Consider the following 13,993-nt stretch of genomic DNA (forward strand, 5'->3'; position numbering starts at 1 on the left):
ATCACAACCTGTGGTAATTAACCAACCCTTTGGATGGGGCTTAATTTTAATTAAACAATGCTCCAATTCTTAATAGGCTAAATGTTTGTTACTTCTCCAACTCTTATCACAAGGTAATTTTGTAGTACTTCATAGATTTTCTGAGAAATTGCTTTATCAATTTTTCCCTGCAGCTGTACACTGAATCTGACTTGTATTGCTAGCTGTTGCTTTAAATTAATTTTCTAATTTTTCCAGTTCTTTCTATTTGGCTAGTTAGTCCTTACATTAAATTTCTTCACCTTCTGATTAACAATTAACAGTACTTATGGCTGTTCTATGGCTATAAAATTGGCCTTGCTGGGTTCCACATTTATCTTGCTTTAATGATCAAATTTGTTTGGTGTAAGATTTTTTTTCCTCGACATCAGCTTTCTATATTCTGGGATCTACAACTCAAGCTGTGTCCCTTTAGCCTCTTACATCATCACCAGCAATAAAGATTTTACTGTCAGGACTTGGCTGACAAATTTGCAGGCTCTTTATTACTGGTGATGATGGACTATAAGAAGCAGAAAAAACACAGCTTGAATCTCATTCCCAGCTTGAATTTGCAAGGCTGGCATTTAGAAAAATTATGTTGTGATTTCACAAACCAAGAAAATTTGAAGACGCAAGTCAGAGAATTAATAAAAAACTTTCCCCCATCTTCTTCTGAAATGGCTTTGGTGAAGTCATTGCACAGTGTGGATTTGGTCAAGTCTCCACCAACAAAATTGAATGTTTACATAATTCACGTGACTTCCTCTTACTTCAAGTACCTGTGTAACTTCAGCTAGAGGCACTTGAAGGACTGAACTACCTTGCTCTAGGGCAAGACATTTTCCTGTTGTGTTCTAAGGGTACACCAGAAAAATCATGCGTCAATGGAAACCTAAGCATTGTGTAGCCCAGAGAATTATCTATTCTATGGGAGCTATTTTACAACTCTGTAAATGACAGATAACTAATAGCAAAGCAAAATAATTCTTGTCTATAGACATCCAAATTCTGCCCTGTTCAGCAGTTCAATTGACTTCCTTCTGCCACTGTGGAAGGAGCTGATTTTGCCTCCATTTGCACATTTGTTTCAACATTCCTTTATTTCATATTTCTCCTTTGCACCAGTTATAAGATCCACTTGGTTTCCTCGTTGATTGAGTTAAAATATCTAACACATGTTCATTTTATCTGAGTCATAATTTACTTTTCTTAAAATTATATTTTAACAATATCTAATCGCTGTACATAAACTATAAAATTATCGTTTGATAAAGTAATAAGGTAAAGTACTGCTAGGAAGTAGTTGAAGCCCACGTTTGAGAATCACTACACGTGGTTTCTAATGCCAGATTTGTTCTTTGCTATCTCGGCAAATTTAAATGCTTCTAATTTCATTACCTCATATATAAAATGTAGGTAATAATACCTGCTTTGTGGGTGAATGAAATAATACAAATTACTACATACTTTGATTAGTCAGTATTTGTTATTATGTTCATAATATTAATTATCCTTATTGATGCATTATTTAAACATAATCAAAATGAACTTGTTAATTGCTTAAGAATTCCAATTGAAATATTGTTACTGTACTCTTGAGCTTCTAATATAGTGCATCCCAACCCTTCAAAAAGGAGTGATTTTGTTTCATAAGTGTCTTAAGACTTACAAACTTTCTGAGCCATTTTAATTATTTACCTGCATAGTGTGTATATATATATACAAATATACACACACACACGTAGTGTGTATATATTTCATATATACACACACACGCATAGTGTGTATATATTTCATATATACACACACACGCGTAGTGTGTATATATTTCATATATATATATATATATATATATATATATATATATATATATATATAAAATTCCAGATCAGACCAAGTTTCTGCCCTTCTGTTTCTGAGAAAGTAACAAGAATCTAAATGCATATTGTCGGCAAACTCAGCTGTGACTAGGATCCTGGCAGGAGAGGAAAGCACAAAGGAAGCCTGCTCCAGTGACACTGATTCAGCTCCTGCCTGAAGCACCGCTTTCTGGCTGTGTGGCCAAAGCCACATGAAAAAAGAAAAGGGAGGTCCCAAAACCTCACCCACAGTGTGGACACTGCTGTATTTCAGCAATATGGATTGAGAGCCTCAGGGTCATTCATGTATCCTTTGAAGCTGGCATTACACTTTTGGGAAAAGATCCTGAAAAAAAAAATCAGAGATATATATAGAGACTTAGGTACAAAGGTATTTACCACAGGACAATTTCTGACAGTGAAAAATTAGAGATAACCTTAATACCCTAAACAAATAAACAAAGATCCTTCCTCCTTATGATGGAATATTAGTTAGCTATCATAAGCCAGGTTTTTCAAAACTGTTAATAAAATTCTCAAAATGTTAAATGTAAAAAACAAACATAAACATAAAATTACATAGTCTATGCCTCCTATTTTGTAACAGTTCTCACACACACACACACACACACACACACACACACCCCAGTAGCAAACACACACCAATATGTTCATAATGCACAGAATGAAAAGCTAGAGGAAACAGGCCAAAATATTCACAATTATTAAGTAATTATTTCTGGGTACTAAGATTGTGGAGATAGTTCCATTTTTCCTTAGGTTATTATGAATGGTCCAAACTTTAAACAGTGAGCATGTGTTACTATTACAGTTAATAAAAAAAAAAAGTTATTTAAAAAACAAGAACCTGCAGGCCATATTAATAACTGTATTTAAAGCCTATGGAAGTTACCACTGGTAGCTGAGGACATCATGCAGAAAGAACAGGAGAAGGAGAATGGTTGTTGCCTTCACCACGAAAGCCCCAATGTGCTACCTCTACCAGCCACATTGTCAATAACAGTTGGCTTTTTTTTTTTTTTTTTTTTTTTTTTTTTTTTTTTTTTTGCCAGGGACCAATTTCGGGCAGAAGACTTAAATTAGGTAAATATAGATTCTGTTACACTCTATTGTTTTGTTTGCATAGCCAGCAGTCTACGTTGTTTCTAGAGGACTCTAGAGGACCTTAATGTGTTTCTACCTCAAGGTGACCTCTGAAGAGTTACCCTTTAGTAGAAAGAAGTACAATGGTCACCAAAAATGGTCATTCCACAACCATCAAAACAATATTAGACAACTTTGGATTCATATTTTAGTCTTATTCCTGGTTTCGGACAACTCTGATGTTAACAGCTTTTAGAAGTTTTAGATGTTTGCTTTATTTTCTTTCATACCATTACCAATAATTCATTATCAGATAACTAAAATTTGCACATTTTAAGGGATTAACACAGTAAATTTAAAATTTTCATTAAGCTGCCCCACTGCTAAAATGTACAACTTGATTATATACAAAATAATTTCAATTAAGAAGGTAATACATTTTTGCTGTGGTAACAGAAAGCATTTGGAAATAAATTACCTATGTTTATCACTAGCAGCAAGTTAAGCTATTATGTATTCAGAAACGAACAAAAATAAAGCTTATTTTATATATACATATATATACACACACACATATATCCTTTTAGAAAGTTATTTTATGTATGCAAATGAAAATACCCCTGTGGTTGACAACTGTAATTAAGGTTTCTCTCTAGCTTTCAGAAAAATAGTGTTTCCCTCTCTTCCCGCAAAGTAGTTCATCCAATTGGTACACCTAATTGAACCTGAAATTTCATACGTTCCACAAGATCATGTTAATCTCATCATTTTCTTCATCTCTTAGCTTGGTTAAAGGCAAAGAGTTATTGAGAGAAGCTGTGATTGGCATGTCTTCTGCTGATCAATTGCAATTTCCTCTCCTTGTAAACTCTATTTAGTGTTACAAAAACAATTCAAAGGCAGAGATTGTAGGTGCCAGGCTTTTCCTCTGACCTTTAAATCAAATTTAGAATTTCACAGGGTAGTATGCCTTCAAGCAAAATCTGTCGGCTTAATAAAGTGGAAATTTTCTGCAATAAATCTGCAATAAATTTCTACCATTCACAAAGAAAGGTAAGCTTTACTTATTGCTGAATAGTTCTGAACAAGGGCGCAAGCTTCTTGGGTGAGATAAAAACAAGTGCTGTTAAACGTAAGAACAACTCAAAATAATGAAAGAAAAAGGGTGAGTGTCATAAATATAATGAGAAAACAAAAGAAACACAGAGAAGAAAAACAGGATAGAGGAAAAAATATGACAGAATTACGAAGAGGCAAGACCAAGACATGAACAAAGGGGAAACAAAGAAGGGACACAAGGAAAAATAGATGATTAATTTTTGTCTCATTTTGCCAATAAGTACAAGATCATTACAATCATAAGATCTCCTGTGTAGGATACATAAAATCACTGTTTTGGGGGTGGTGAACCACAACTGTACTCTAATCCCTGCTGAGTCTCCATATGTGTTTGTTATAGCACCAAATGATCTAATGGCTTATTCTATTTTCCAAACAAGTAAATGCCAAGTATTTGCTAAGGAAACTAAGGTCAAATATATACATTTCTTTTCTCTATTTTCTAAAGGAAATCCTACTAATTCCCACTGGCAGAGGACCACATACATATAAGAGACCAATAGATATACCCATTCGCAAAGAAGCTGGTAACAAATCGACAAACAAATTAAAAAACCCAAAACATCAGAGATAAACTGTCACACAATTAAAGTAAAATACTCTCCAATGCAAGACCTCTTCCTAGACGAAGATTGTTTCGCTTCCCGATATTTTTAAAACATTGAATTAGCTGCCAATACACAAAAACAGAGAAACTCATAGTTTTAAAAATCCAGATTTCTCAGCTCCTCAAAAAATCAGAAACTCTAGCAGCATTCCTATGTATTGATTATTAACTGGAGCATAAGCTGCTATTGCCACAGACCCCCACATTACCCACTGCCGTCCTTGCACCCACTCATTTGGATTATTTGCTTGAGCACTGCTGTTGGTGAAATTTATAACTCTTACTATTAAGATGATTCAGCTCAGTATTAGTTTCCTAATGCTGCTATAACAAATACCGCAAACATAGTGCCATCTAACTATACAGATTTATCATCTTACAGTTCTGAAGGTCAGAAGTTCAAAACGGATCTTACAGGGCTAAAATCACAGTGTTGGCAGAACAGTGTGATTTCTAGAGGGTCTCAGGTAAAATCCGTTTCCTTGCCTTTTCTGGCTTATGGAGGCCACCTGCATTCTCTGCATGCTCATGTCCCCCTCCTCAATCTTCAAAATCAGCTGTGTAGCATCTTCCATGTCTCTTTCCCTCTGACATTCCCGCCTTCGTCTTATAAAGACCCTTGTGATTACACACCCGGATACTACAGGATCATCAATCCTTCTTGTGCTCTTTAACTTCATCTGCAAAGGCTTTTTCACCACCACATATGCACAGGTTCCAGAAATTAGAACCTGGACATCTTTGAGGGGCCATTTATCAGCGTGCCACAGGCTCCATCCTCAAAAGAGCAAAGAACCTTCAAGCCATAACAGGTTGAAGATACTGGCTCACACATTCAGGAAAACCAAGACAAATAACAAGGCAAACATTGTAAAGGCATATCTCAGACATAGAAGCATAAAGAGGTTAGAACACAGGTTTTTCTTGATGCTTCCTCCATTTTACTATACCAGTTCTCTCTTAAAATGTATTTCAACACAATGTTTTCTTCAAATTGCAGCATTCTTCACATTGAGAACAAGTTTTCACACCAAGTCATTTGCCTATCAGTGGAAGATGCATGAAACCATCTTTGTTACCTCTACCCTCTTCTACCTTCTACGTTTCTACTGATTACAATTAATTAGCCCCTTTTTGGACACCAATGTTGTCCTAGGCATTATGCAAAGTGCTGTCCAACTTTACAGGGCTCATTTCTTCTAATCTTCACAGCAGGAGATTTATCTTACAGATGATATTTAAGCCCCAAAACAGCTCATTGACTTGTCCAAACCCATACAGTTATTAAATACAGTATGGCTTGACCTTGGAAGTCAGATCCTCTTGGTCACCAACTTATAACAACTGATTTATGACACTATTTTATGACACTTCTGGTCAACTATCCCCATATTCTTATTTGAAAATGTTTGTACTAGATGGAGAAGTTCAAGGAAATTTTAAAAAGTGGATTTGAATGTTTTAAACTGTTCACCAAAAATAGTAAATAATCAGATCAATTTCCTCTTAACTATGTTTTGAATAAGCTTATAGTGCTGCTTTGGAGAAAGCAAACAGCCTGAAAACACCTTGAGCTTTGGAGAAAGAGGGGAGAAATATATTTTACTTAAGACAGGACTTTAAATCAAATACATATGAGGTTATGAAGGAAAATGAATTAAATAACGTGACAGTGAGATGTTTATAGTGCTGTCTGGTGGCCAGTGAAAGGTGACTCCTTGATATGCTTCTGCCCATCTGTTTTCATTTTCCTTGGCCATATTCTTTCCATGACCTTGAGATAGCCATGTAGCCTTCTGTCTTGGCGTTTTTGGTTAGACATCTATCAAATAAAAATTATTATTTCAGCCCCTGTTTTCTTTAGATGGGTAGAGAATAACTCAAAAATGAAACTCTAGACCTGAAAAATCATTTAAGAAATAATTCTCAAATTTGCCTCTTCTCTCCACCTACACCACTACCTCTGTAATCAAGCTAATCATCTCTCACTTACTGTGTGCCTTAGCTTCCTGACTGGTCTTGGTGATTCCATTCTTGTCCCCAGCACACTTGATCTTCATATTGTCACTGGCGCAACCTTAATATAATTACTGAACTCTTCCATTTAACACACCTCAATGGCTTCCCAGTTGCTGTCTGAATAAGAGTTAGATGGCATAACATAACTCACATGTTTATCTGGCTCCCAACTAAACACTTTGACCCCATCTTCTCCAAGTTTAACTAACCCCTTTGATTTCCTCTCTTTCAAGTTTAACTAATCCCTTTGACCTCATTTCCTCCAAAGTTTCCCATAGGTATATGCCTTTGTCAAACATGCTCTTGACTACATTACTCCTACCTCTCTTACTAACTGCTTCTCATTCTTGCAGGCTTTGATTCTCATACATGAGGCTTATAAAGAAGTCCTAATACAGAAATATCATCATAGGCTTTCTAGGTTTCTAATATTTAACTTTCCACTGTACTTAGCAAATAGACACTTAGTTGTTTCCATTTATCCAACCTCAAATCCTGGGCCATTAACACATTTATGTAAATGAAAAGACCCCAACTCTTACTGCAAACACTTAGGGGAGATTATTAAAAACAAACAGGGATATTGGCCTGTAGTTTTCTTTTCTTGCAATGTCTTTGACTAGATTTGATATCAAGATAGGGCTGGCCTCATACAATTAGTTTGGAAGTATTCTTTCTTCAAGTTTTTGGAAGAATTTAAGGGGGCTTGGTGTAAATTATTTAAATGGTAGAATTTAGCTATGGAGCTATCTAGTCCTGGGCATCTCTTGGTTGGGAGATTTTTAATTACTTATTCAATATTCTTATTCATGATTGGTCCATTCCAATTTTGTTTCTTCATGATTTAGTCTTGGTAGGTTGTACATTTCAGAAAAATGTATTCGTTTCTTCTGGGTTATCCAATTTGTTGGCACATAATGGTGCATATTAGTCTCTTATAATCCTTTATATTTCTACAGCATCAGTTGCAATGTCTCCTCTTTCATATATGATTTTATTTGTTTTAGTCTTTTCTCTTTTTTCTTAATCTAGCTAAAGGTTTGAATATTTTGTTTATCTTTTCAAAAAAAAGAATGTGTTGTTTAATTGTTACATATTTGTGAATTTTCCATTTTCCCTTCTGTTTTTAATTTCCAGTTTCTTTCTATTGTGATTAGCAAAGATACTTGGTATAATTTCAATTTTCTTAAATTTGTTGGGATTTGTTTAAGCCCAGACATATGATCAATCCTGCTGTGTGTGCTTGAGAAGAATGTACATTCCATGCTGGGTGGAATGTTCTGCATATTTCTGTTAGGTCCATTTGGTGTATAGCTTTGCTCAAGTTTGCTGTTTCCTTGTTAATTTTTGGTCTGGATAATCTATCCATTATGGAAAGTGGTGATTAAAGTATTCTACTATTATTGTGTTTCTATTTCTCTCTTCAGCTTTGTCAATGTTTGCTGATATATATTTAGATTTATATATGCAGTTCTTATATATATATATGATTTATATATACAGCTCTGATGTTAGATGCATATATATTTATAATTATTACATCTTCCTGATTAATTGACCTTTTCCTTTATCATTATGTATTGAACTTCTTTTTCTCCTGTTACAGTTTTTGATTTAGAGTCTATATTGTCTATGTACAGACATCCCTGCTCTCTTTTGGGTTACCACTTGCATGGAATATCATTGTTTTATTCCTTCACTTTCAGCCCATGTATGTTTTTAAATCTAAAGTGAGTCTCTTATAAACAGCATAGTTTGACTTAATCTTTTTATTCATTCAACCACTCTATGTCTTTTCATTGGGAAATCTAATCCATTTATATTTTGTTTTGTTTTTAGAGACTATAGAAACATTTTAGATTTACAGAAAGATTGGGCAAAAAGTAGAGTTTTCATATACCCTCCAAATAGTTTTGCTTATTATTAACATCCTGCATTAGTTCAGTGCATTTGTTAAAATTGTTGAATCAACAGTGTACATTATCCTTAACTAAAATTTATAGTTTACATTAAGGTTTATTTGTGGTATACATTTCTATGGGTTTTGACAAATGTATATCATAAACTGCATTCATGTTTAAAGTATATTCCTCAAATTTTTCGTTATTTTATTTTTTATTTTTAATTGATTTATAACAACTGTACATTTATGAGGTATATGTAATATTTTGATACATGTATACAATGTGTAATTATCAAATTAAGGTAATTGGTATATCCATCACCTCAAATATTTATCATTTCTGTGTTAAGAACATTCAAAATTTTTTTCTAGCTATTTTGTAATATACAATAAATTATTGTTAACAATAGTCACCCTACTGTGCTATAGAATACTAGAACATATTCCTCTTAACAATGATACTGTTAACCAACCTTTTCCCATCTGCCCTTCCTCCATACTCTTCCCAGCCTCTGGTAACCATTATTCTACTCTCTACTTCTATGAGATCAACTTTTTCATCGATAGGTAAGAATTACTATCGTCATTTCACTCATTGTTTTCCATCTGTCCTGTAGTTCTTTTGTCTATATTTGCCTCTCTTGTTGTCTTCTCCTTTGTGATTTGTTGACTTTTTGTATTAATATACCTTGATTCCTTCTCTTTTTCTTTTGTGTAGATTTTATACGTATTTTCTTTGTGGTTACCATGAGACTTACATAAAATATCTTACAGTTAGAAAGTCTACTTTAAGCCAGTAACAACTTAACTTCAATCATATACAAAAACTCTGCACTTTTACTTCCTCCCTCCAACACTTTATGTTATTGATATCATAATCTTTATTGTTTTACATTGTGTATCCACTAACAAATTTTTGTAGTTACAGTTAATACTTTTATTTTTTATTTTTATACTAGAATTAAAAGTGATTTATATACCACCATTGCAGTATTCTGTGCATATATACTAAACTTTACCAATGAGTTTTACTTTCATATGCTTTCGTGTTGCTATTTAGCAATCTTTTTTTCAACTTAAAGAATGTCCTGGCCGGACATGGTGGCTCACGCCTGTAATCCCAGCACTTTGGGAAGCTGAGGCAGGCAGATCATGAGGTCAGGAGATCGAGACCATCCTGGCTAACATGGTGAAACCCTGTCTCTACTAAAAATACAAGAAATTAGCCAGGCGTGGTGGCAGGCACTTGTGGTCCCAGCTATTAGGGAGGCTGAGGCAGGAGAATGGCTTGAACCCGGGGGGCGGAGCTTGCAGTGAGCCAAGATCGTGCCACTGCACTCCACCCTGGGCGACAGAGCGAGACTCCGTCTCAAAGGGGAAAAAAAAAAAAAAAAAAAAGGAATTGCCTGTAACATTTCTCTTAAGTCCAGGGGCAATGAACTCTCTAAGCTCTTGTTTGTTTTGGAAAGTCTTTATCTCCCCTTCTTTTTTGAAGAAGAGATTACTGGGTATAGTTTTTAGTGGTTGGCAGTTTTTGTCTTTCATGATTTTAAATATATTATCCAACTTCCTTTTGCCTTGAAAAATGTCTCTGAAAAATCTGTTGATAGCCTAGGAAACCAGAGGTCAATATCCCTTGTGAACATAGATGCAAAAATCCACAACAGAATACTGGCAAACAAAATTCAATAGAACATTAAACAGATCATATATTATGACCAAGTGTCATTTATCCTCGGGATGCCAGGATGGTTCAACGTGCTCAAGTCAATAATGTGATATACCACATTAACAGAATGAAGGGCAAAAATCACATAATCGTTTCAAGAGATGCACAAAAAGAATTTGAAAAAATTCAACATCCTTTCATGATAAAAACTCTCAACAAACTACATACAGAAGGAATTTACCCCAACATTAAAGGCCATAAATAGAAAGCCTGCAGCTAATTTCATATTCAACAGTGAAAAACTGAAATCTTTCCCTCTAAGATCAAGAACAAGGCAAGGATTCCCACACTCACCATTTCTATTTAACATAGTACTGAAAGTGCTAGCCAGAGCAATTAGACAAGAAAAAGAAATAAAAATTACCTAAATCCTGATGGAAGGAGTAAAATTCTCTGTTTGCAGATTACATAGTCTTATACCTAGAAAACCCTAAAGACAACACAAAAATACTCTTAGAATAACCGAATTAAATAAAATTTCATAATACAAAATCAACATACGAAAATCAATTTCATGTCTATATACTAACAATAAACAATCCAAAATAATTACAAGAACAATTCTATTCACAATAGTAACAAAATAAATACTTAGAGATAAATTTAAACTGGGAGATTAAAGAGTTATTAACTGGAAACTACACAACATTGATGAAAGAAATTAAAGAAGACAAAAAGAAATGGAAAGCCATCTCATGTTCATGGATTGGAAGATTTAATATTATTAAAATGTCTAAAAAATCACTCTTATCTATTAAAATGTCTAAAAAACCCAATCTTTATCAAAATGCTGGTGTCATTTGTTTACAGAAATAGAAAAAAACTCCTAAAATCCATAAGATGCCACAAAAATACTCAAAAGCAATACTGAGAAAGAACAAGGTTAGAGACATCACACTTCCTGGTTTTAAAATACATTACAAAGCTACAGTAACCAAAACAGTATGGTACTGACAAAAACAATTGTATACACCAATAGAACAGAACAGAAAGCCCAAAAATAAATGCAGACATACAGAAACTGATCTTTGACCAGGTGCCAAGAATACACAGGGAAAGGATAGTCTCATCAACAAATGATGTCAGAAATACTGAATATCCAGAAGTAAAAGAATGAAATTGCACCCTTTTCATATACTATACACAAAAGTAAACTCAAAATGGATTAAAGACTTAAAGGACCTGACATGATAAAACTCCTAGAAGAAAACGTAAGACAAAAGCAAAATTTTTCTAGTCAATGACTTCTTGGATATGACACCAAAGGCACAAGCAACAAAAGCAAAAATAGACTAGTGGGACTACATCAAACTAAAGAGCTTCTGCACAGCAAATAAAAAAATCAACAGAGTGAAAAAGGTAATTTATAAAATGGAAAGAAATATTTACAACCATATATAAAATAAGGGGTTAATATTCCACAAATGTAATGAATGACTACAATTCTATAGCCAAAAAAAAAAAACTGATTTTTTAAATGGCCAAAGGATTTGAAAAGCCATTTCTTCAAATAAGTTGCACAAATGGCCAAAAGGATAAGAACAGATTCTCAGCATCATGAATCATTAAGGAAATACAAATCAAAAACGCAACGAGATATTATTTCACACCCATTAGGATGGCTATTATCATTTTTTAAAAGATAGTAAGTGCTGGTGGGATTTGGAAAAATTGGAACCTTTGTGCACTGTTAGCAGGAATATAAAATGGTATAGCACTATAGAAACAGTAATAATGTTCTTTAAAAATTTTTAAATAGAGCTACCATACGATCCAGCAATCCTACTTCCTGGTATATATCTAAAAGATTGAAATAAGGATCCTGAAGAGTTATTAGAATGCCCATATTCACTGTAGTGTTATTCACAATATTCACAACCAAGATATGGAAACAAACGTTCATCAATAAATGAATATACATAAATGTGGCATATACATACAATGGAATATTATTTCACTTTATAAAAAGGAAATCCATTATATTTGACATGTATGAAGCTGGAGGACATTATGCTGAGTGAAATAACCTAATCACAGAAGTTCAAATACATGAGATTTTAACTATATAAGGTATCTAAAATAGGTGAATTCATAGAAACAGAGTGTAGATGCTGGTTACCAAGGGCTGGAGGTGGGGAGGAATGTGGAGTTGCTGATCAATGAGATAAAATTTCAGTTGTGCAAGATGCATAAGTTCTAGATACCTGCTGTACAACATTGTCCCTATAGTTAACAATAGTGTGTTATGCACATAAAACTTAAATCAGAGGGTAATCTCATGTTACGTGTTCTTATCACTATTAAAAATTAATTAAAGGCTCTTTCCCCAAAGATTCTGACCCAATTTGTCTAGGGTGGTTGTACAGATATTTAAGTTTCCAGGTAAAGTTATTGTGAACTAATGTTGAGAAGCACCAGTCTATAAGGATGAGTCGAGAATAAACTCAATAATTACACAAACTTTTCTATCAAAGATGTCATCAGGCTAAATTATTTAATAAGGTAAATTTTCAGCAAGCAAGGGGTATATATTTTAGCTGTCCAGGGTACAGAGTTACAATCAGGTGTACACTTAATTGTATACCTTGTCTTATAAGATGAACTTAGAATAGATGAGGTGGTGCAATAGACCAAAATGTAATCATCCAATACCTCAGGACACACATTTAAAAATGCACAAACAGTATAATTACAACACATATGATTAGTAAGGTTGATGGAAGAGTTCTGCTTAAAGGTAGCAGAATATGTGGGTGAATGAAGAATTAAGCATATATGACTATTACCTATGCCCCAGGAAGACGGTAGTGAGACCTCCTTGCACTGCAGGATCTACTAAAAGGTTCTACATCTCATTTTTTTCCCATAAAAAGAGTTCTAATCTGTTTTAAATAACACTTTTTGTGAAAATGCCAATTTATGATTTTATATTTAAAACTATAGTTTTGAAGACAACTATTAGAAAACAAAAAAATAAATCTGGAAAAAAATTATATTGATACAATGTGAATATTTTAGTTAATTTTCTTATCTGTGTAAATGCATGGTTTATGAACTTAAATTAACACAATACATAAAGGTTTATGCCCTTTTTAAAACTAAATTTAAATTGTATCATGGGCATTTCTAATATATTTTTGAGAAACAGTTCTGTTGTGTATACATATAGTACCTGTTATATAAATTTACATGTTTTATTTAACTATGTCTACCTTGTACATTTAGATTGATCTTAATTTTTCACTTTTATAAAGATATAAAAATATAATAATATGTGTGTGTGGGGGGTTATTTATTGTTAAAGAGAACAACTGGGTTTAGGACAACTAGCAATTCCATACAGTGGTATCTATAAACCTCACCATTGTGTTCTTGATACACCTACGAATTACAGATTTACCTGCCACTCCACCCCAAGTGTCTGGATTCATTAGGTCTCAGACAGTATGCATTTTTTAGTAAGCTCCAAAAGCAGTTCTTATGCAGACAGATGGTTCATAGCTTCTACTTGTGAAACTGGTATCAGCCTTTTTAAAATTCTCACACATACTGGCAAACAGTCCATCAGAAAGATAACAACTTTTTATTTCCTTAAGCAATGTATGATCGTGCCAATTAAGGTAAACTTTTAG

The sequence above is a fragment of the Homo sapiens genome, chromosome 20 (genome assembly GCF_000001405.40).
Source record: "Homo sapiens chromosome 20, GRCh38.p14 Primary Assembly".
NCBI classification, from domain to species: Eukaryota; Metazoa; Chordata; class Mammalia; order Primates; family Hominidae; genus Homo; species Homo sapiens.